The 22,545-nt window shown below is 52.9% G+C and overlaps 2 protein-coding genes across 15 annotated transcripts, besides 4 other annotated features; both read left to right on the top strand.

The window, feature by feature from the left end:
- The first annotated feature begins 4,625 nt into the window (after positions 1-4,625).
- On the top strand, positions 4,626-7,997 carry NRM (nurim). 11 transcript variants are annotated; one of them, NM_007243.3, is made up of 5 exons: positions 4,626-4,670; positions 4,765-5,204; positions 5,803-5,999; positions 6,594-6,770; positions 7,104-7,997. In NM_007243.3, the coding sequence occupies exons 2-5, from the start codon at positions 5,072-5,074 to the stop codon at positions 7,383-7,385; spliced, it is 789 nt and encodes a 262-aa protein (NP_009174.1). In that variant the 5' UTR covers positions 4,626-4,670; positions 4,765-5,071; the 3' UTR covers positions 7,386-7,997. The 11 variants fall into 11 exon arrangements, 8 of the variants coding, with proteins under 8 accessions (NP_009174.1, NP_001371298.1, NP_001257636.1 ...); NR_073065.2 differs by lacking the exon at positions 4,626-4,670 and having other exon boundaries at positions 5,062-5,204; positions 5,803-6,021; NM_001384369.1 differs by lacking the exon at positions 4,626-4,670 and having other exon boundaries at positions 5,062-5,204.
- Positions 7,655-19,657, top strand: PPP1R18 (protein phosphatase 1 regulatory subunit 18). Of its 4 annotated transcripts, none has more exons than XM_047418258.1 (4): positions 7,655-8,270; positions 10,000-11,638; positions 16,657-16,867; positions 18,758-19,657. In XM_047418258.1, the coding sequence occupies exons 2-4, from the start codon at positions 10,028-10,030 to the stop codon at positions 18,775-18,777; spliced, it is 1,842 nt and encodes a 613-aa protein (XP_047274214.1). In that variant the 5' UTR covers positions 7,655-8,270; positions 10,000-10,027; the 3' UTR covers positions 18,778-19,657. The 4 variants fall into 4 exon arrangements, with proteins under 4 accessions (XP_047274214.1, XP_047274213.1, NP_001128342.1 ...); XM_047418257.1 differs by having other exon boundaries at positions 7,655-8,582; NM_001134870.2 differs by lacking the exon at positions 7,655-8,270 and adding an exon at positions 8,839-8,932.
- Positions 12,283-13,172: an enhancer, noted in NCBI's record as "H3K27ac-H3K4me1 hESC enhancer chr6:30650651-30651540 (GRCh37/hg19 assembly coordinates)". NCBI's record gives its function as "activates a minimal SCP1, AML or CMV promoter by ChIP-STARR-seq in naive H9 embryonic stem cells {active_cell/tissue: H9 hESC(naive)}" and the evidence as "EXISTENCE:reporter gene assay evidence [ECO:0000049][PMID:30033119]".
- Positions 13,173-14,062: an enhancer, noted in NCBI's record as "H3K27ac-H3K4me1 hESC enhancer chr6:30649761-30650650 (GRCh37/hg19 assembly coordinates)". NCBI's record gives its function as "activates a minimal SCP1, AML or CMV promoter by ChIP-STARR-seq in naive H9 embryonic stem cells {active_cell/tissue: H9 hESC(naive)}" and the evidence as "EXISTENCE:reporter gene assay evidence [ECO:0000049][PMID:30033119]".
- Positions 13,640-13,934: an enhancer, noted in NCBI's record as "tiled region #567; K562 Activating DNase unmatched - State 1:Tss". NCBI's record gives its function as "activates a minimal TATA promoter and a strong SV40 promoter by Sharpr-MPRA in K562 cells {active_cell/tissue: K562}" and the evidence as "EXISTENCE:reporter gene assay evidence [ECO:0000049][PMID:27701403]".
- Positions 20,948-21,087: a silencer, noted in NCBI's record as "fragment chr6:30642736-30642875 (GRCh37/hg19 assembly coordinates)". NCBI's record gives its function as "represses an EF-1alpha promoter that drives an FKBP-Casp9 reporter gene in an ReSE screen in phorbol 12-myristate 13-acetate-treated (for megakaryocytic differentiation) K562 erythroleukemia cells {active_cell/tissue: K562(+PMA)}" and the evidence as "EXISTENCE:reporter gene assay evidence [ECO:0000049][PMID:32094911]".

The following is a 22,545-nucleotide window of genomic DNA, read 5'->3' as shown; positions in this document are numbered from 1 at the left end:
TGAGGCGGGTGGATCATGAGGTCAGGAGATCAAGACCATCCTGTCCAACATGGTGAAACCCCCTCTCTACTAAAAATACAAAAATTAGCTGGGCGTGGTGGCGTGCGCCTGTAGTCCCAGCTACTCGTGAGGCTGAGGCAGAAGAATCACTTGAACCAGAGAGTCAGAGTTTGCAGTGAGCCAAGATCATGCCACTGCACTCGAGCCTGGCTATAGAGGGAGACTCTGTCTCAAAAAATAATAATAATAATAATAAAAAAATTAGCTGGGCATGGTGGCATGTGGCTGTAATCCCAGCTACTGGGGAGGCTGAGGCTGCAGAATCACGTGAACCCGGGAAGCAGAGGTTGCAGTGAGCTGAGATCATGCCACTGCACTCCAGCCTGGGTGACAGAGAAAGACTCTCTCTCAAAAAAAAAAAAAAAATTTAGCCAGGTGTGGTGGCACATGCCTGTAATCCCAGCTACTTGGAATGCTGAGGTGGGAGGAGGTCAAGGCTGCAATGAGCCATGATTGTGCAACTACATTCCAGCCTGGGTAACAGAGCACGACTCTGTCTCCAAAAAAAAAAAAAAAAAAGGAAAAGAAAACAGTTATTCAAACAAATTCTTGTACGTGAGTGTTCATATCAGCACTTTTTACAATAGCCAAAAAGGTGGAAACAACACAAATATTCATCAGCAAATGAGTGGATAAACAATTGTGATATATCCATATAATCAAATATTATTCAACCATAGAAAAGGATGAAATACTGATATATGCTACAATATTTTGAGGATGAATATCAAAATATTTTGCTAAGTGAAGGAAAGCCAGAAACAGAACACATATTATGTGATTACACATGTAAGGAATATCCAGAATAGGTAAACCCATAGAGAACAAGAGCAGATTTGTGGTTGCCAGTGGCTGTGGGGTGGGGGAGATGAGAAAATGGGGAGTAACTTCATGGGTATGGAGTTTTATTTGGGGGTGATGAAAATGTTTTGAAGGCCCAGCGTGGTGGCTCATGCCTGTAATCCCAGCACTTTGGGAGGCTGGGGCAGGTGGATCACTTGAGGTCAGGAGTTCGAGACTAGCTGGACCAACATGGTGAAACCCTGTCACTACTAAAAATACAAAATTAGCCAGGCGTGGTGGCACATGCCTGTAATCCCAGCTACTTGGGAGGCTGAGCAGGAGAATTGCTTGAACCTGGGTGGCAGAGGTTGCAGTGAGCGGAGATCAGCCATTGCACTCCAGCATGGGCAATAAGAGCAAAGCTCCATCTCAAAAAAAAAATGTTTTGAAATTAGATAGAGGTGGTGGTTGTACCTATTACTAATATACTAATGTACTAAATACCATTATATTATTCTCTTTAAAGTGGTTAGGCTAGGCCGGGTGTGGTGGCTCACGCCTGTAATCCCAGCACTGTGGGAGGCCAAGGTGGGTGGATCACCTGAGGTCAGGAGTTTGATTGAGACTAGCCTGGCCAACATGGTGAAACCCTATCTCTATTAAAAATACAAAAATTGGCCAGATGTGGTGGTGGGCGCCTGTAATCCCAGCTACTTGGGAGGCTGAGGCAGGAGAATCACATGAACCCAAGAGGCGGAGGTTGCAGTGAGCCAAGATCGCGCCATTGCACTCCAGCCTGGGCAATAAGAGCGAAACTCTGTCTCAAAAATAAATAAATAAATAAATACAATAAAGTGGTTAGGCAAGGCATGGTGGCACCCTGGGAGGCTAAGGCAGCAGGATCACTTGAGCCAAGGAGTTTGAGACCAACCTGGGTATCATAGTGAGACCCCATCACTACAAAAAATAAAAAGTTAGCTGAATGTGGTGGCGCATGCCTGTAGTCCCAACTACTCAGGAGGCTGAGGCAAGAGGACCATTTGCCCAGAAGTTCGAGGTTGCAGTGAGCTGTGATCATACCACTGCACTCCAGCCTGGACCGCAACTCAAAAAAAAAAAAAGGTTAATTTTATGTTGCATGAATTTCAATTTTTAAAAAATAGTTGATTACTTATGTACACTTTTCTGCATGTAAGTAATACTTAAGTTTGGAAAACTTTGGTGTAGTAGAAATAGCATGAGATTTGCCAAGCATTTTGCTGGCTATTAAACATATCTAATCTCATAATATACATTAAGCACAGCCATTGTGGGGGTGGCAGACAGTATGACCCAGATAAATATTAGTCCCCTTGCACAACTCAAAGCTTTCATACTCTAAAATTGTCCATGTCCCGGAGGCCCTGATTTCTTTCTTTCCATTTTTTTTTTTTTTTTTTTGAGACAGAGTTTCACTCTTGTTGCCCAGGCTGGGTTCAATGGCGTGATCTCGGCTCACTGCAGCCTCCGCCTCTCGGGTTCAAGTGATTCTCCTGCCTCAGCTTTCTGAGTAGCTGGGATTACAGGCATGCACCACCACGCCCAGCTAATTTTGTATTTTTGGTAGAGACAGGGTTTCTCCATGTTGGTCAGGCTGGTCTCGAACTCCCGACCTCAGGTGATCCACCCACCTTGGCCTCGCAAAGTGCTGGGATTACAGGCGTGAGCCACTGCACCCGGCTCCTTTTTTTTTTGTTGTTGTTGTTGAGATGGAGTCTTGTTCTGTTGCCCAGGCTGGAGTGCAGTGGCGCGATCTCGGCTTACTGCAACCTCCGCCTCCCAGGTTCAAGCAATTCTCCTGCCTCAGCCTCCCAAGTAGTTGGGACTACAGGTGTGTGCCACCACACCCGGCTAATTTTTGTATTTTTAGTAGAGACGGGGTTTCGCCATGTTGGTCAGGCTGGTCTCTAACCCCTGACCTCGTGATCCACCCACCTAGGCCTCCCATAGTGCTGGGATAACAGGCATGAGCCACCGCGCCCAGCTCCTTTTTTTTTTTTTTTGAGACGGAGTCTCACTCTGTCACCCAGGCTGGAGTCCAGTGGCGAGATCTCAGCTTATCGCAACCTCCACCTCCCGGGTTCAAGCGATTCTCCTGCCTCAGCCTCCCGAGAAGCTGGGATTACAGGCTCCTGCCACCACACCTGGCTAATTTTTGTCTTTTAAGTGGAGACGAGGTTTCACCATGTTGGCCAGGCTGGTCTCAAACTCCTGACCTCAGATGATCCAACTGCCTCGGCCTCCCAAGTGCTGGGATTACAGCTGTGAGCCACTGCGCCCAGCCAGAGACCTTGATTTCTTACCATACCTGCTGTCTGTAGAGCACCATGTAGCACTCAGCTACACTCCCTCTTCATGAGTGGTACTATTTAAATGCCTCAGGTTAAACATCTAGAGATTAGGGATCTTTTCTTACACTTCCTTGTATTTTATTTATTTATTTTTTTGTTTGAGACAGAATCTTGCTCCATCACCCAGTGGATTCTCCTGCCTCAGCCTCCCAAGTAGCTGGGATTACAGGCGCATACCACCACACCCAGCTAATTTTTAAAATTTTTTAGTAGAAATGGGGTTTCACCACGTTGGCCATTCTGGTCTCCAGCTTCTGGTCTAAAGTGATCCACCCACCTCAGCCTCCCGAATTGCTGGGATTACAGGCGTGAGCCACCGAGTCTGGCCTCTTACACTTCCAATGAACCCCATAGCTTGTAGCACATTGCTTTGTGTGGTAAGTGTCTCTATTCATGGTCCTAGCAGGAAATGAATAGCACAGTGAAATTAGGATAATTTGGGGGAGAGTTTAATAAAGTGATAATTACAAAGAAGTAGGCAGGGTGTAGGGAAATCAGAAAGAATAGTGCAGTGCCTTAGTACCCACAGCTCTGTTGTGATCACCTCCAAGCTCAAAAAGATGAGGACAGAGCAGTCGTGTAGAGAGGACTTTCTTTTTTTTTTTTTCTTTTCTTTTTTTTTTTTTTTTTTTTTGAGATGGAGTCTTGCTCTGTCGCCCAGGCTGGAGTGCAGTGGCGCGATCTCGGCTCACTGCAAGCTCTGCCTCCCGGGTTCACGCCATTCTTCTGCCTCAGCCTCCTGAGCAGCTGTGACTACAAGCGCCCGCCACCGCGCCCGGCTAATTTTTTTTGTATTTTTAGTAGAGACGGGGTTTCACCGTGGTCTCGATCTCCTGACCTCGTGATCCACCCGCCTCGGCCTCCCAAACTGCTGGGATTACAGGCGTGAGCCACCGCGCCCGGCGAGAGGACTTTCTCAATAAAAACTGTGACTTTCATTGATACCGTCCATTTGGGACAACTTACTGAAGCAGAAAGCAGGGTGGAGACTGAATTCAAGGGAAAACATAAGATGTCTGGTACAGCATACAACAGCATTGATTCAGAGGAGGGTGGGAGTACTGAGCCCAGGAGACGGAGAAGGAATGTAAAGCCTGCGAGAGGCTGCTCAGCAATTATCTGGTCCCTTAGCCTACAGGATTAGCAGCTTCCTAACTCAGGCAATTATCTCTCTGGACCTGTTTCTTCTATCTATAAGTTGATGGAATTAGTCTAATGATATCTAAGGTCCCTACTATGTGTACGTCTACTGTGACAAGGTCCTTAGCTGCATGATCTTTAATTCTGACAAAGGTTACTATCACAAATATTTTAACATGTTTATTCTCGTGGTTACTAATCAACAATCTCTGGCACTATTACAACAAACCTTTCAGTATTTACAGAGAAGTTATTTGCCATTCTTAGCAACTGGCCAGTCAACAACTCAACTTTATAGTAAGTTACAGAATTTATTCTGTATATTGTATTCTGTACAATGTATTCCATACATTAATTTATTTTGTGGTAAAACAGTAACTTTTCATTTTAGATGGGAAAACTAGACGAGCTGAGATTCAACCCACGTGAGCGGCTGCAGAGCCGCTACCCTTAACAGCTCTCTCTCGGGATTCTAACATTCCCTTCTGTGACGGAGAGACAGCAGGCCGGGACACGCATCCCAGGACGGATCCACAGCTGGATGGGGAAGGCTGCGCCAGGCGGGCCGGAAGCCTGGCGGTGGCGTGCAGGAGCCCCGCCCTCCTGGGCTGGATTCAGCCGGGGGCGGGGCCGCGGGCGGGGCCTGTGGCAGCGGGAATCCCGACCCCGCCCCTTTCCCCACCCCTCCATTTCTCGCCATGGCCCCTGCACTGCTCCTGATCCCTGCTGCCCTCGCCTCTTTCATCCTGGCCTTTGGCACCGGAGTGGAGTTCGTGCGCTTTACCTCCCTTCGGCCACTTCTTGGAGGGATCCCGGAGTCTGGTGGTCCGGGTGAGCGGGAGGGATCGAGGATGAACTGGGAGGAGGAAGGTGGAGCCGTAGGAGAGGGATTGAGGGCGGGGCTTGGAAACAAATGACAGGGGAAGTCCAAGAGAGGGAACTCGAACCTTGAAAGCGGCCGAGAAGCTACAGGGGAGGGAGACCTGAGTTCTAAATTAGGAACTCAAGGATTAGAGTTTTGGAGAGGCGGGAGAGTGAGGACTGAGGGAGCCGAAAAGGGCGGTGACCGGAGTATTCTAAGTAAAGTGTTTTGTAGAGAGGACTGTTGAGAGGAGAGTGTTAAAAAGAAGGAGCATTTGGAGAACCGAAGTAAGAGGGGCAATCCAGCGTGGCCTCTCCAGCCATGCTTTTTGCAACTGCCTAACATGTGGTGTTCTATAAATCCTCTTCCCCAGGTTTGCAGGAGGCCTAGGGAAGAGGGCAGAAACTAGGGATGGAAAAGTGAGATGGGCACAGCCTAGAGAGGAAGCATTAAGGCTCTTGAAAGCAGTAAGGGACATGGCCTGGGGATCCAAGAGGAGATGAGGGTGGGGGAAACATTCTGCCACTGTTTCGATCTTTTGTCTCTTTTTCCCTCAACTTCCTGTAGATGCCCGCCAGGGATGGCTGGCTGCCCTGCAGGACCGCAGCATCCTTGCCCCCCTGGCATGGGATCTGGGGCTCCTGCTTCTATTTGTTGGGCAGCACAGCCTCATGGCAGCTGAAAGAGTGAAGGCATGGACATCCCGGTACTTTGGGGTCCTTCAGAGGTCACTGTATGTGGCCTGCACTGCCCTGGCCTTGCAGGTATGAGGCCCTGGCCTTGCAGGTATGAAATCCTGGCAGTTGAGTCCCCAAGGGAGACCAAGTGTGGGAGGGGTGCCGTGGATTGGAGGGGCAAAATATGGGTTCAGGAGGAGAATTGAGGAACTAATCTCAGCTTCCATTCCTCCACAGCACATATCCTACTTTTTATCAAGAAGGGTGTACTTGTCCTTCCCTAAGCACAAGATATGCTTCTCACCTCTGCAACTTTGTTTATGTCCTGCTTGAGATCCCTTCTCTTCAGTCCTACCCTTTCTTCAAAACCACTTCCCTAGGTCTGAAGAGAAGGCCTTGTCTGTCTTTTCACTGGGTGGTTGGCACAGGCTACTACTTTGCGTAGCTATCAGGTCACCCCATCTATTCTATAAGTTCTCAGGGTAGAGACAGGCCATCCTTACATCTTTGGGACCTCACCCAGCACGCACCCTCCACATGGTGAATATTTGGTGGTGATGCTTAGGAGAGAGGTGGGGGAGAGTTGCAGGCTAGCCTGTGGTGGGGGCAGATCTGGGTCTGGGTCTCCCAAGGTCGGGCAGACTAGGCCACTGGGATACCCAGCCCCTTATCCTTCCACAGCTGGTGATGCGGTACTGGGAGCCCATACCCAAAGGCCCTGTGTTGTGGGAGGCTCGGGCTGAGCCATGGGCCACCTGGGTGCCGCTCCTCTGCTTTGTGCTCCATGTCATCTCCTGGCTCCTCATCTTTAGCATCCTTCTCGTCTTTGACTATGCTGAGCTCATGGGCCTCAAACAGGTGAGGCTCCGAGATCCCTACCTATGACCTCTGACCCATTTTAGAACTCCTCGTTCCCTTTCAAGGGTTTCCCTCCTCCCATGCTCTTCTACTGTCTCCCTGCTTCTCCCTCGTGGCCCTTCCCTTTGACTTTCCCTCGTAAGGGCAGCAAGCATGGGCCTCCTGGGCCTGGGGAAGGTACATGGATCAGAAGTCAGGATCAGGGATCCAAGTCTCAGAAGGGGGGTTCCTGGGCCTGAGTTCTAGAAGGGTGGTGCCTGGAAGAGGAGGAAAGAAGTGCCCAAGATGAGAAAAGGGCTTGACTCCATTTCTAAGCTCTTCTCCCTCTCTTAGGTATACTACCATGTGCTGGGGCTGGGCGAGCCTCTGGCCCTGAAGTCTCCCCGGGCTCTCAGACTCTTCTCCCACCTGCGCCACCCAGTGTGTGTGGAGCTGCTGACAGTGCTGTGGGTGGTGCCTACCCTGGGCACGGACCGTCTCCTCCTTGCTTTCCTCCTTACCCTCTACCTGGGCCTGGCTCACGGGCTTGATCAGCAAGACCTCCGCTACCTCCGGGCCCAGCTACAAAGAAAACTCCACCTGCTCTCTCGGCCCCAGGATGGGGAGGCAGAGTGAGGAGCTCACTCTGGTTACAAGCCCTGTTCTTCCTCTCCCACTGAATTCTAAATCCTTAACATCCAGGCCCTGGCTGCTTCATGCCAGAGGCCCAAATCCATGGACTGAAGGAGATGCCCCTTCTACTACTTGAGACTTTATTCTCTGGGTCCAGCTCCATACCCTAAATTCTGAGTTTCAGCCACTGAACTCCAAGGTCCACTTCTCACCAGCAAGGAAGAGTGGGGTATGGAAGTCATCTGTCCCTTCACTGTTTAGAGCATGACACTCTCCCCCTCAACAGCCTCCTGAGAAGGAAAGGATCTGCCCTGACCACTCCCCTGGCACTGTTACTTGCCTCTGCGCCTCAGGGGTCCCCTTCTGCACCGCTGGCTTCCACTCCAAGAAGGTGGACCAGGGTCTGCAAGTTCAACGGTCATAGCTGTCCCTCCAGGCCCCAACCTTGCCTCACCACTCCCGGCCCTAGTCTCTGCACCTCCTTAGGCCCTGCCTCTGGGCTCAGACCCCAACCTAGTCAAGGGGATTCTCCTGCTCTTAACTCGATGACTTGGGGCTCCCTGCTCTCCCGAGGAAGATGCTCTGCAGGAAAATAAAAGTCAGCCTTTTTCTACATATGGCATGCAGTCTGTCAGTGTCTCCCAAGCTACAGGGCTGAGTTTGGGAAAGAAAGCCAGAGGGAGCCTGGGAGCACCGAACTGGAGTCTGGGCAGCCACCACGCCCTCTGGCAACCGCTGGGGTTCGGCCACCCCCGCAGACCCGCCCCCACTTTGCCAGAGCGGCCGGGTCCCCATTCCCATTCCTTCAAATCCCCTTTTTCCCGGCAGCCGACCTGTAGACCCAAGGGAGACAGGTTGAAGCTAGAAAGAGTCGGGGCAGCAGCTCTGGTAGGGGAGGGAGCATCCAAAACCTCTGGCTTCTGAGCGCCTCTCCTGCCGCCCATCCACAAAGCCCCCCACAGCCTGGCGGCTGCCCTCGACCCCGCAAAACAAAGGACTTCAGAGGCTGGACCTACAGACCCAGATGAGAAGGCAAAAGCGTAGGGAGGAGCGGCAGGAGATGGGAAGGGCGGGCCCCGCTCGGAGCAGCTGCCGCTTCCTCCCAAAGTCCCACGAGGGGCCTGAGTCACGGGCCACCGCCCTGGGTCGGCGAGCTGGGGGAAGGGATCTGGACACCTGGCGTGTCCGGGCGGGAAGCTGGTGAGGGCCCCTGGGGACAGAGCGGAGGACCAGTGGTTGGGGCGAGAAGAGGGCAGTCCCGCAGCGAGTCCCACGCGGGGTGGGAGGGATCTAGGCCCCGCCCTCTCCTCGGCTCCGCCCTGCGCCCCCTTCCCTCTCCTCATTGTCCTTAGACAAAGCGGTCGCCGCCCCCGCCCGGCCCCCTGGTCTCTGTCTCCGTCCCTCCTCCTTTGCTGCCTCTTTCCCTCCTCCTCTCCCTCCCTCCTCCCCTCCCTCCAGTCTCCGGATCTCCCTCGGTCCCTCTCTCCTCCTCTTCCTCTCTCTGGACGCCCGGCTCCTCCGCACCCCCTCCCCCGGGGGTCCCGCGGCCTGTGAGTTGACTGAGGGGCTCAGACTTGGGGAGTGGGTGTCTCCTCGCCCCTGTCCTTGCTCCCGTCCCTGGCCCGGACCTTGGCTGTCTCCTCTTTGTGCCGAGATTGTCAGTCTGTGCGGCTACAGCGGGGTGGAGACGGCCGGCTCTGTCACGGCTTCATGAGAGCGGGGACGGGGCGCAGGACTTGCAGGCGCCGGGGAGAAGAGACATGGAGCCGGCCCTTGGCACTCTGGGGTCGCGTGGGGCAGTCGGTGGGGGAGGCAGGCGGTGGTGACAGGACAGGGTGGGGGTGGACGCCAGGGTTCTGGGAACGCGCTGGCAGCCCTGACGCCCGGGTTCCGAAAGTCTCGGGGGTGGCTATTTCCCCCGACCCGCCTCGGGGGCGGAGTGCGGGGCAGAGGGGTGGGGGCTGGGGAGAGGCGTGGCCCGAGCGGTGCTGGAAGCGGAGCCGGGACCTTTGGGGCCCGCGCTGAGACGCGCCCGGCTGCTGCCGCCGCCCTCCTTTCCCCTCTTCCCTGGTTTCCCTTCTCCTCTAGACCTGTTCGCTCTCCGCCCCTCCTTGCCTCCCCAACACCCCCTCAGGTCCCGTTGCCTCCTGGTCCTTTCAGGGATTCCTGGTCCTTCCTTCCCACACTAGCCTCCCTGGGGTATCGCTGAGGCAGCCTGGCCTGCACCCAGGTTCCCCTCACCCCTGCCACATTTCTCTCTTCTCCCTCACGCCAACTTTCCTTTTCGCCCTTCTCTCTCTTTCTCACATCCTAGAGACGGTCTTTAATACGCATTAACCCTGTGCTGCCACATCTGGCTCCTGCCCTCATTGCCTCCAATCCGGACTCTTCCTCTCACATCACCCCCACCACCCCCAACTTGGGCTCACAACTTCTCTTCACTTTTTCCATTTCCCCAGTTCTCTGCCTTCCGTCTTTCCCTCTGTCCTCATCCTTAGCCCCTCTGCCCTGCTTTGTGTCCCACCTCTCCCCCTCCACTTCCTCTCCTCCCACCCTCAGTCTCACCCCCGGGCTGTCTCACTCTCTGGAGCCTCTCCTTCCTGTTCTCTGTCCCCAGTGCTCCCTACCCTCACCTCAAGACGACCATGGCCACCATCCCAGACTGGAAGCTACAGCTGCTAGCCCGGCGCCGGCAGGAGGAGGCGTCCGTTCGAGGCCGAGAGAAAGCAGAACGGGAGCGCCTGTCCCAGATGCCAGCCTGGAAACGAGGGCTCCTGGAGCGCCGCCGGGCCAAGCTTGGGCTGTCCCCTGGGGAGCCTAGCCCTGTGCTAGGGACTGTAGAGGCTGGACCTCCAGACCCGGATGAGTCTGCGGTCCTTCTGGAGGCCATCGGGCCAGTGCACCAGAACCGATTCATCCGGCAGGAGCGGCAGCAGCAGCAGCAGCAACAACAACGGAGTGAAGAGCTGCTAGCAGAGAGAAAGCCTGGGCCTCTGGAGGCCCGGGAGCGGAGACCCAGCCCTGGGGAGATGCGGGATCAGAGCCCCAAGGGAAGAGAGTCAAGAGAAGAGAGACTAAGTCCGAGGGAGACCAGAGAGAGGAGGCTGGGGATAGGGGGAGCCCAAGAGTTGAGCCTGAGGCCTCTGGAGGCTCGGGACTGGAGGCAAAGCCCAGGAGAGGTGGGAGACAGGAGCTCCCGACTGTCAGAGGCATGGAAATGGAGGCTGAGTCCTGGAGAAACTCCAGAGCGGAGTCTGAGACTAGCAGAGTCTCGAGAGCAAAGCCCCAGGAGAAAAGAGGTGGAAAGTAGACTGAGCCCAGGGGAATCTGCCTACCAGAAGTTGGGCCTGACAGAGGCCCATAAATGGAGACCTGACTCCAGAGAGTCTCAGGAACAGAGTTTGGTACAACTGGAGGCAACAGAGTGGAGGCTGAGGTCAGGAGAAGAAAGACAAGACTACTCGGAAGAATGTGGGAGAAAAGAAGAGTGGCCAGTTCCAGGGGTAGCTCCAAAAGAGACTGCAGAGCTGTCCGAGACCCTGACAAGGGAGGCCCAAGGCAACAGTTCCGCAGGAGTGGAGGCAGCAGAGCAGAGGCCTGTGGAAGATGGCGAGAGGGGCATGAAGCCAACAGAAGGGTGGAAATGGACCCTGAACTCCGGGAAGGCTCGAGAATGGACACCCAGGGACATAGAGGCTCAAACTCAGAAACCAGAACCTCCAGAGTCAGCAGAGAAGCTTCTGGAATCTCCCGGTGTGGAGGCTGGAGAAGGGGAGGCTGAGAAGGAGGAGGCGGGGGCTCAGGGCAGGCCTCTGAGAGCCCTGCAGAACTGCTGCTCTGTGCCCTCCCCCCTCCCACCAGAGGACGCTGGGACTGGAGGCCTGAGACAGCAGGAAGAGGAAGCAGTGGAGCTCCAGCCCCCACCACCAGCCCCTCTGTCTCCCCCACCCCCAGCCCCAACTGCCCCCCAACCTCCTGGGGATCCCCTCATGAGCCGCCTGTTCTATGGGGTGAAGGCAGGGCCAGGGGTGGGGGCCCCCCGCCGCAGTGGACACACCTTCACCGTCAACCCCCGGCGGTCTGTGCCCCCTGCGACCCCAGCCACCCCAACCTCTCCAGCCACAGTTGATGCTGCAGTCCCGGGGGCTGGGAAGAAGCGGTACCCAACTGCCGAGGAGATCTTGGTTCTGGGGGGCTACCTCCGTCTCAGCCGCAGCTGCCTTGCCAAGGGGTCCCCCGAAAGACACCACAAACAGGTAGGGAAGCAGCCAAGCCAGACTTCTTAGAAGTCCACTTGTCAATTTTCTCTGGACTCTGGTCTCTTTCTTTTTTATACCCCTGTTTTCTTGTCTTCCTCTATTCTTTCTTGTTAATTCCTGCCACCACCCTTCCTCGCTCTGCACATACACCCTTCCTTCTCAGAGCCCTCCTTTTCCATTTTGAGCCCAAAAGATCCTGCCCCAGCAAAGGCTGTCTCTGGGTGTGTCTCTTTCAGGGTGTGCCAGGCTGCTCATTCTCCCTTCCCTTGGGCTCTGAGTTTCCAACCCCCTTTTCTTTCCTTCCTTTCCTGAGTGTGACCTGCCCCAGCCCATCCAGTGGGAGAGCCTAAAGTGACGAGCTTGAATCAGTGAGGGCAGGGTCACCAGGGTGAGAGCACTTGCAGTTTTTCTGGGGAGAAGGGATAGGGAGCCTGGGGTGGTGGAGGGGGTGGGGTGGGTTTGTGTTCTAGGGAGAAACTGCAGGGAGAAGTGAATGGAGAAAGGTCCAACTGCCCCGTGGGAAGGAGGGCAGAGCTGAATAGGGACATCCTAGGATGGAGGGGAGAGGGGAGATGGAACCGGGCCGGCCAAAGATCAGAGAGAAGGCTTTTGAACCCCGAGTCTGCCCCATGGGAGAGACACAGAGAGGCCATTTGAAGTGGGTGACCTCGGGGTTGCACACCCCCAGCTGGGCCACTGCTTCAGACAGTGCTCCCTTCTCTCTTGGGACAAGAAAAGCCTTCTCCTCTTCCAAAATACCCCCGCCCCTCACTCCCCTGTCCTTCCTCCCTGGGTTTCCCCTCCCTCCCAAGAACTGGCTCAGGGATCGGTTTTCCCCTCTTTTCCTGCCATCCTGGACTTTCCCTCCCCTTAGGGTAGCAAAAGAGAGAAGTGAATTTGGAGACAGTTTTGAGAACAGGCACTGGCCAGGGAGCACAGTGGGAGTTCTGGACAGGGGTTGGGGCTGAGGCCAGCAGAGGGTCAGAGGTTAGACTTGCAACAAAGACCTGCAGGAAAGTGGGGGCAGCCAGGATGACTCCCCCTGGCCCTGGCCTCACTTCTTCCCTGTGCACATCCATCTGTTTCCAGCTTGAAAATCTCTAGGGAGACAGAGGTCCCACACTCAGACATCTCAGACTTAGGAAGTCCCTCCAGTCACACACATCTCCCCAGAGCCTGGGAAGCCCAGTCTCATTCTCATCCCATGTGTTAACATCCTCAGATTTGATTTTTTTGTGTCCTCAGTGTCAGTGGGGAACCACAGGGACTAAAGATACGGGTTAAGCCTTGGGTGGAGGGGGGTTCATTTGATCCCCCAATTCATCTTCACATGAAGCGTAAGCTCCCACCTCTAAGCCATGGTTCTTGGGAACCTACCCTCAGCCCTCTGACTGCTACCAGCCTGTTCCCCTCAGGGCTGGGCAGATGAAAAAAACAGAAGTCCGGAAATGCTACCCGGGTGAGGTGTTCAGAAAAGTCACTTCCTACTGAGAGAGGCTTGTGCCTCTGGGGAAGAATGAGCAGAGGGAAGCATGAAGCTTTGGGGCCCAAAGCCCAGGGAGCATCCCAGGGGAGCCAGGAAGCAAGTGCAGGGCAGGACCTGTGCTGGTGACCATACCTAGGCCAGAGAGCAGGGGAGCCGGAAGCAGATCGCCCAAACAGGAAGCCTGGGGTGGGGGCCGGAAGGCTGGTGGGGCTGAGTGGGGAACCCTGGGCCCTGGGCCCTGGGCCTGCCAGATCTGTGCTCAGGATGTGGTGAGAGAATAAGGAAGCAGCCGCTGCTTGGGTGGGGGTGGGGAGGAGGCAGCACAGAGTTCCTCTGACCCAGACGCCTCACCCTCCACCCTCTACCCCCTGTCAGCAACCTGTTCTTCAGGGACTGGGTGCCTTGTCCCAGCTCTGCTGCAACACACTGGCTCAGGAATAGGAGATAGGAGGACCCTGCCACCAACCCCCGCTTCACCTTCCCTAAATAACTCGTTTGCAGGCTAATTCCATCAAATTTATCCCTGCCATCAGGAGAGAAATCCCAGCCCTGCCACTGGAGCCCAGGGGATGGCTGTGGCTGGTGCCCTACCCCAGAGGCCTCTTGGTTGGGCTGAGAGACCAGCCCCATTGTGACCTTATATAGCTGATGGGAGAGGAGCGAGTGAGTCACCCCCTCTCTACCCCCCCACTCCCATGCAGGCTGTGCATTTCTGAGAAGCCCAGTCAGAAGTTGGTGGGGGGTGAGGAGACAGGCAGGGTAGGGGGGGAGATATAAACATAGACCGAGAGCAAATAAAATAAGTCATTTTCAGAGTAGAAAATAAAGTACAGAGGTTATTATTCCAAAAGAGGATATGAGAAGAAAACAAAAATGGGTTCCCAGAAATGTGGGTAAATCTGTCAGTTACAGAAACCTAAGCGGTCCCTTCTGAGAACTTGGGATATAAGCAGTCTGGCTGCTGTCACTAGATTCTACCAGCAGTTCCACAGACATGAACTGGGGGTCAAATGTGTACAGGCTGGACCACCCGCAGATCGTTTCCCCAGCATTGGTCCTCTGATGGCACCTCATGTGAGGTCTGAACAAACCCTAACCTCTTGCATTGTACCAACTTCTAAGCTCCTTTCTTTTTTCTTTTCTTTTCTTTTTTTTTTCTGAGACAGTCTCGCTGTCTCCCAGCCTGGAGTTCAATGGTGAGATTTCGGCTCACTGCAACCTCCACCTCCCGGGTTCAAGTGATTCTCCAGCCTCAGCCTCCTGAGTAGCTGGAATTACAGGCGCACGCCACCATACCCGGCTAATTTTAGTATTTTTAGTAGAGACGGGGTTTCACCATGTTAGCCAGGCTGGTCTCGAACTCCTGACCTCAAGTGATCCACCTGTCTTGGCCTCCCAAAGTGCTGGGATTACAGGGGTGAGCCACCTTACCCGGCCCCAAGCTCCTTTCAACAGCAGACATGAGTATAATATATTAGTAAATTATCTAGTAAGTTAGAAGGTGGTAAGTGATTATGGAAAAAAAAATAGAACAGTGGAACTTAGAGGGTCAGGAGGTAGGGGGAGTGAATATGGAGACTTCAAAATAGGGTGATCAGGAGGGTCAGAGCCATGGGGATATTTTGGGGGAGTGTTCCAGGCAGAAGGAATAGCTAGTACTGTTCTGGTCCTGAGGTAGGAGTGCGTGGAGGGAACCAAGGCCAGTGTGGCTGGAGTGGAGGAAGAGGCCAGAGAGGCAAGGGGAGGGTGGCATACTGGGAGCACCCTGTAGGCTTTGGTCAGGCTCTGGGCACCTTGGGGGCAATCAAGTAGACTTTTTTTTTTTTTTTTTTTTGAGACAGAGTCTTGCTCTGTTGCCCAAGCCGTAGAGCAGTGGCGCGACCTCGGCTCACTGCAACCTCCGCCTCCCGGGTTCAAGCAATTCTCCTGCCTCGTCCTCTCGAGTAGCTGGGACTACAGGTGCACGCCACCATGCCCAGCTAATTTTTTTGTATTTTTAGTAGAGACAGGTTTCACCATGTTGGCCAGGATGGTCTCAATCTCTTGACCTTGTGATCCGCCCGCCTCGGCCTCCCAAAGTTCTGGGATTATAGGCATGAACCACCGCGCCCAGCCTGGAGTAGACTTTTTGCTCCAAGTGAGATGGGGAGACACTGCAGGGTTCAGAGCCAACAAGGAGTAACATATACAGTTCCTGAGTTCTACCTTCCCATGGGGACCCAGGTGTCATATCTGGTTTTCTTTTTTTTTCTTTTTTAGAGACAGTGTCACTCTATTGCCCAGGCTGGTCTCGAACTCCTGGGCTCAAGAAATCCTCCCGCCTCAACCTCCCAAAGTGCTGGGGCTACAGGTGTGAGCCACCATGCCTGACTGGTGTCATATTGATGCAGCTCTTAACAACCACCTGCCCAGCCACCCTTCTGGCTTCTCTCTTTTCATACCTCAGTTCATTAGGGGACTCAGGGATGTACGGCTGACCCCAAGTCTTCCCAAACAGATGCCAGGGAAGGCCTGAGTAGATCATTTGGACCTTTCCAAGTAGTTCATATGGAATCCTCCTGCTGTCTCCCTAATCCCTTTGGCTCCTAGACTTAATCCCACCCTGCCCCTTCCCCCTGAGCTTCTTAATAGGGCAAAGGGGAAGGGTAGAAAGGCAGTGAGAACAGCTGGGACTCGCCTGCTCTTGGGACAGTGTGATTACCAAGGGTTTTCTGTGCCCTGTCTGGTATTTTGTCTCTGTGCCTGTCCCTTTGGGCACACTGTGGACCCCCACCCCAGGTTTGTGTGGACTTTCCTTTCTGCCCTTGTCATCTCCCCCAGCCTTCAGGGTGTCAGCGGCTCATCTTTCCCCTGTGTGTTGCTGGAGTCTCTTGGTTCCTCTCGGCCTTTCTGTTCATCTCCCATCTCTTCCTAGGCCCTAGACTCCCTTTGCTATGGATAGGAGAGGAATGAGGAGAGTAGGAGGGAACAGGTGCCCAGGGTCCTGGGTTTTGCATAGGACAGCAAGGGGCTGTGGGTATGAAAACCTTGCTTTTGTCTGAGACTCGCTCCCCAGCCAGTTCTTTCCCCACTGGCCAGTCTGCTGGGCTCCTCTGGGAAGTTCACTCGATTGCCCCCAAGGTGCCCAAAGACTCGGTTCTGATCACAAGACTTATCGCCATGTATTTTAATTTCTTTTTACCCCTCTGCCTCCCACACTCGAAATAGCAGGGACCTTGGTCTTATATTATTCACTTCTGCCTCCCAAGCCCCTGCCAACGTACAGGGCAAAGTCTGATGTTTTGAAATGATATGATCGAAGAGGGAAACTCTAGAATTGGAGAGCCAGTATGGAAAGGAAAACTGGATCCCAGAGTGGATGGGGAGAGTGAGTGGGGCACCTGAGTCCAGCCCCCACCCCCACGTTCCGCCAGTCCCACCTGCTCCCTTGCAGACTCCGCCCCCCCCGCCCCCGCTTTCTCTCCCTCAACCCCCGCGGGCTTCTCCCCTGCTGACCTTGCCTCCTGCCCCCTTTTTCTCCCTCCTTCAGCTTAAGATCTCCTTCAGCGAGACAGCCCTGGAGACCACGTACCAATACCCCTCCGAGAGTTCGGTACTGGAGGAGCTGGGCCCGGAGCCTGAGGTCCCCAGTGCCCCCAACCCTCCAGCAGCCCAACCCGACGACGAAGAGGATGAGGAAGAGCTGCTGCTGCTGCAGCCAGAGCTCCAGGGCGGGCTGCGCACCAAGGCCCTGATTGTGGGTAAGCGGAGGCTCCGCCGGCCCGAGGGCGCCCCCTGCTGTCAGAGCGGGCGCTGTGGTCCAGGAGAGAGGAGGGAGGATTACATGTAGGCACTCGGAAGGGGCTTGGCGGGTCCTCTGGTTCAACATGCTCCTTTAACAGATGGGCAAACTGAGGTCCCCGGCAGTGAAGTACACATTGAGTCTTCAGGTTTCAAAACGAGAACTCTTCCTGAGTGCTGTAATCTGGTCAAAATCACAGGGTGGGTCGACAGGCCTGAGTTGGAATTCCAGCTTGTCTCTTTAATTGTGTGATCTCAGGGAAACCATCTGATCTCTTGCTTTAGTTTATTATTTATGAAATGAAGTTAATAATAACTACCTCCTGTGGCTCATGCCTGTAATCCCAGCACTTCGGGAAGCCAAGACGGGTGGATCGCTTGAGCCCAGGAGTTCAAGACCACCCTGGGCAACATGGCAAAATCCTGTCTCTACAAAAAAATTGAAAAATTATCCAGGTGTGGGCCGGGCACGGTGGCTCACGCCTGTGATCCCAGCACTTTGGGAGGCCGAGGCGGGCGGATCACGAAGTCAGGAGATCGAGACCATCCTGGCTAACACGGTGAAACCCCATCTCTACTAAAAATACAAAAAAAAATTAGCTGGGCGTGGTGGCGGGCACCTGTAGTCCCAACTACTTGGGAGGCTGAGGCAGGAGAATGGCGTGAACCTGGGAGGCGGAGCTTGCAGTGAGCCGAGGTCGTGCCACTGCACTCCAGCCTTGACAACAGAGTGAGACTCCGTCTCAAAAAAAAAAAAAAAAATTAGCCAGGTGTGGCAGTGCGCAGCTGTGGTTCCAGGTACTTGGAAGGCTGAGGTGGGAGCATCGTTTGACCTCAGGAGTTGGAGGCTGCAGTGAACCAATATTGCACCACCCACTGCACTCCAGCCTGGGCAACAAAGGAAGACCTGTCTCAAAAGAAACAAACAGGCCAGGCACGGTGGCTCACGCCTGTAATCTCAGCACTTTGGGAGGCCGAGGCAGGTGGATCACTCAAGGTCAGAAGTTCAAGACCAGCCTGGCCAACATAGTGAAAACCCATCTCTACTAAAAATACAAAAATTAGCTAGGCATGGAGGTGGACACCTGTAATCCCTGCTACTCGGGAGTCTGAGGCAGGAGAATCACTTGAACCCGGGAAGCAGAGGTTGCAGTGAGCCGAGATGACGCCACTACACTCCAGCCTGGGTGACAGAGTGAAATTCTGTCTCAAAAAAACAGAAACCAAAAACTACCTCCTAGACTTGTAGAAAATATTAAGTAATTTTATTTATTTATTTATTTATTTATTTTGAGACAGCGTCTCCCTCTGTCGCCTGGACTGGAATGCAGTGGCACAACCTTGGCTCACTGCAACCTCTGCCTCCCAAATTCAAGCGATTCTTGTGCCTCAGCCTCTCTAGTAGCTGGGATTACAGATGTGTACCATCACACCTGGCTAGTTTTTATATTTTTAGTAGAGACAGGGTTTCCCCATGTTGGTCAGGCTGGTCTTGAACTCCTGACCTCAAGTGATCCTCCTGCCTCAGCCTCCCAAATTGCTTGGATTACAGGTGCTCCAGGCCAAGATTAAGTAATTTTTTGTGAAGCACCAAGAGCCACAGCTGGATATCATATTACTTAATCTCTCCTGGAGTTATGGTGAGATTAAACAGTTATAAGGATGCCTGGCACAGAGTCCGAGCTAAATGAGTGATGGATGTGGTTACTGGTGGTAACATGCTTTAGATATGGAAGATATTATAGGACTTCCTGCATGCCAACTGCCCTTCAATTTGTGTGGGGGGGAAGGGTGGGCAGAAGGCAGAGGCTCTCACTCATTCTCTAACATTATTGCCCCCTCTCCCACAGATGAGTCCTGCCGGCGGTGACCATCTTCCAACATAGGGATATACCTCCCTCCTTCTTATAACTGAAGATCCTGGAGCCCGGAAGATTCAGGGCAGACAGACCCTGATAATGAGCCTGGCAGGGAAGGGCAACCAACATCTTGTAACTTGCTTTCCCCACCCTGTTTCTGGGGGCAGAGCCAATTGCCCAATTTCTACCCTAATCCAAAGTCCCTGGTGTGGGTGGGGTTAAACGTGCTGGTGCATCCTAGGTCATCCAAGAGTGAGCGCCAAGTCCTGAGAAGGGGCACAGAACTCCCTGGAGGGTGGAGATGGAGCACCTGCCCCCCATGGCAGGGTACACTCTCCCCACAGCCTTCCTCCCCACCATCCCGTGGGGACTCTCGGGATTTAAGCACTCGTCTCTCTGGGAGGCCCAGACCCCACTCCATTTATAGGCACATCTCCTTCATTTCCTAGGTCACTGCCCCTTTGTTTACAGCTCCTGCCTCCTCCCTTGACCACAGCCTGGTTTACAAATTCCATCAGCTCCCAGCCCCACCTGCCAAAGTCCCAGGTTTACAAGCCACGCTTACTTGCTGTGTCTGCGTGGAATTCTCTCCTCTGTCCCCTCCAGTCTCCTCATTGGAGTGACCTGAAGGTGTGGCTTCCTCCACTTTTTCTCAGTATTACTTTGCCTTAGTTTTCCCCAAGAGGGAAGGCTGGAACTCTTAACTCTGTACCCCTTGATAGTTATTTAATTCTGTTTCTCCTAGTGGTTCACAATTGAACTGAATTGAGATGGTGTCGGGTGGCTAAGGAGACACCTCACCTCTCCTTCCCCATTGTGCCGCCTTTATCAATTGCCTGTTTTGTTTTGTTTGTTTTTTAACTTTCCATAATAAAATGGAGTTCTCTTCAACTCGTCTGCTTCTCCTTCTTTGGGAAAAAAAAAGGGTATGTGAGGGGAGGCTCTGGTGGCTGGGGGAGAGGAAAATGATGGGGGATGAACCAGGAACTCGGCACTGACATGTCAAAAGGGGTCTGGGAAGCTGCACGTGGGTTTCACGCAGGACAAGCAGGTGACATGAGAAAGGGCAGTTGAAGTGTCCACTAGACTGGAAGTGCCATGAGGGCTGACTACATCAGCTGGATTCACTGCAATATCCTGTACCTGTCAACTAGTAGACACGGAATTATTTCTAGAATGAATGACAACAAATGAATGAATAGAAGAAAAGGGTTAAAATATTACAGAGGACACTTTGAGTTGAAGGGTTCTAGTATTCAGAAGCCTGCTGCCATGAAGGCAGCTAGGTAGTGTATGACACAACCCATGTGGCTAATCCAGGGATACTTACTTAAAGAGCTGGGGCTACGAATACTAAATCTGAAATTGCTGCAAAATGAAGTAAGTATGTACAAGAGTCAGTTTCCTGGAAAAGGTTCCCCTCTGATAGACAATGGATTTTATATCGTTAAAGGCCTAAAGGCCGGGCACGGTGGCTCACGCCTGTGATCCCAGCACTTTGGGAGGCCGAGGCAGGCGGATCATAAGGTCAGGAGATTGAGACCATCCTGGCTAACACGGTGAAACCCCGTCTCTACTAAAAATACAAAAAATTAGCGGGGCATAGTGGTGGGCACCTGTAGTCCCAGCTACTCGGGAGGCTGAGGCAGGAGAATGGCATGAACCCGGGAGGTGGAGCTTGCAGTGAGCTGAGATTGCGCCATTACACTCCAGCCTGGGCAGCAGAGTGAGACTCCATCTCAAAAAAAAAAAAAAAGGTTTAAAAACCATCTTGATAGTGCATGGCTTTGGTGCCCATGTAGTTGATATTTGGAATTTTCCCATTTCAAAGAATATCTTATACAAATGTGGAACATCAATATTTTACTCATCAGGAAAATTTGTTTGTTTGTTGTTAGCTCTCCAGGCTAACAAAGATATGGTTGAATAGTTATAGTCCTTCTACCACTACAAGTTGCTCCTCTCAGACTGGTCAGAGGAGGCCCCACACCTTTACTATAAAACAAAATATATGAGACAAATTGAACTTAAGCATACGCCAAAGGTTTTCAATTTACTAGCAAGAGAACAAGCCAGGTGTCAAAAGACTCAGCCAGTTCAGAGAAGGTCTGGGTAGGGAAGGAAACAGAATGATTATATTAGTAGCCTGTTAGGTAAAGGTCTTAAAAAGTTTCCAGTTGTGACCCAGGAAAACAGAGTTAGGAAGCTCCGAGGTGCCAGGGGTGCTCACAGTCCATCTCAGAAACAGAAAACAATGCATTCAAGAGGTCAGGCCAGGTGTGGTGGCTCATGCCTGTAATCCTAACACTTTGGGATGCCAAGGCGGGTGGACTGCCTCATCTGAGGAGTTTGAGACCAGCCTGGGCAACATGATGAAACCCCGTCTCTACTAAAATACAAAAAATTAGCTGGACGTGGTGGCACGCACCTGTAGTCCCGCCTACTCAGGAGGCTGAGGCAGGAGAATTGCTTGAACCCAGGAGGTGGAGGCTGCAGTGAGCCAAGATCACGCCACTGCATTCCAGCCTGGGCGACAGAGTGAGACTCCGAGACTCCCTTTCCAAAAAAAAAAAAAAAAAAGTCAGTGATGTAGATCCACTTGTGGCTATTAATAAGAACAATGTTTCATTTCCTAACAGTAGTGCCTGGTAACTGCAATTAATCACAAAAGTATGATGCAGGATCAAACAAATCAGACAGCAGAGCATCGAGTAACAAATTCAGCTTTTTGTTTTGTTTGTTTTTTTTTTTTGAGCATAGTCTTGGTCTGTTGCCTAGGTTGGAGTGCCTGACCTCGGCTCACTGCAACCTCTGGCTCCTGGGCTCAAGAGATTCTCCTGTCTCAGGCCCAGTGCGGTGGCTCACGCCTGTAATCCCAGCACTTTGGGAGGCCGAGACGGGCGGATCATGAGGTCAGGAGTTTGAGACCAGCCTGACCAACATGGTAAAACCCCATCTGTATTAAAAATACAAAAACTAGCTGGGCGTGATGGCATGTGCTTGTCACACTTGTAATTCCAGCTACTCAGGAGGCTGAGGCAGGAGAATCACTTGAACCTGGGAGGCGGAAGTTGCAGTGAGCCGAGATCGTGCCATTGCACTCCAGTCTGGGCAACAGAGCGAGACTCTGTCTCCAAAAAAAAAAAAAAAAATTCTCCTGTCTCAGTCTCCAGAGTAGCTGGGACTACAGGTGCACACCTCCACACCTGGCTAATTTTTTGTAGAGATGGTGGGGTCTCACCCTGTTGCCCAGGCTGGTCTCAAACCCCTGGTCTCAAGATATCCTCCTGCCTCAGCCTCCCAAAGTGCTGGGATTACAGCAAGAGCCACTGCACCTGGCCTTGCTTACTTTTAAATAAGCAGCCACCAGTGATTTTCTCAAGCTGTTAAGCAAAAATGCAGAACACAGTTTGCCTGTTCCTTAGTTTGGAGATTTTGTCTTTAACAACTTTCCCCAGTTCCCCAGTTTCTTCCTGCCTAGAGGTCTTCCCTTATACCTGACCTGTCTTCACTCCTGCTGCAGGCAAACCAGTCCTAGCAACGGTCACTTTTTTGTTTGTTTGAGACAGAGACTTCCTCTGTTGCTCAGGCTGGAGTGCCGTGGTGGGATCTCGGCTCACTGCAAACTCTGCTTCCCATGTTCAAATGATTCTCCTGCCTCAGCCTCCCGAGTGGCTGGGACTACAGGCGCACACCACCACGCCAGGCTAATTTTTATATTTTTAGTAGAGACAGGGTTTCGCCATCTTGGCCAGGCTGGTCTCGAACTCCTGACCTCA

This window comes from Homo sapiens, chromosome 6 (genome assembly GCF_000001405.40).
Source record: "Homo sapiens chromosome 6, GRCh38.p14 Primary Assembly".
Classification (NCBI taxonomy): domain Eukaryota; kingdom Metazoa; phylum Chordata; class Mammalia; order Primates; family Hominidae; genus Homo; species Homo sapiens.
Note: the sequence above shows the minus strand (reverse complement) of the source record. Positions and strands in the feature narration are given on the sequence as shown.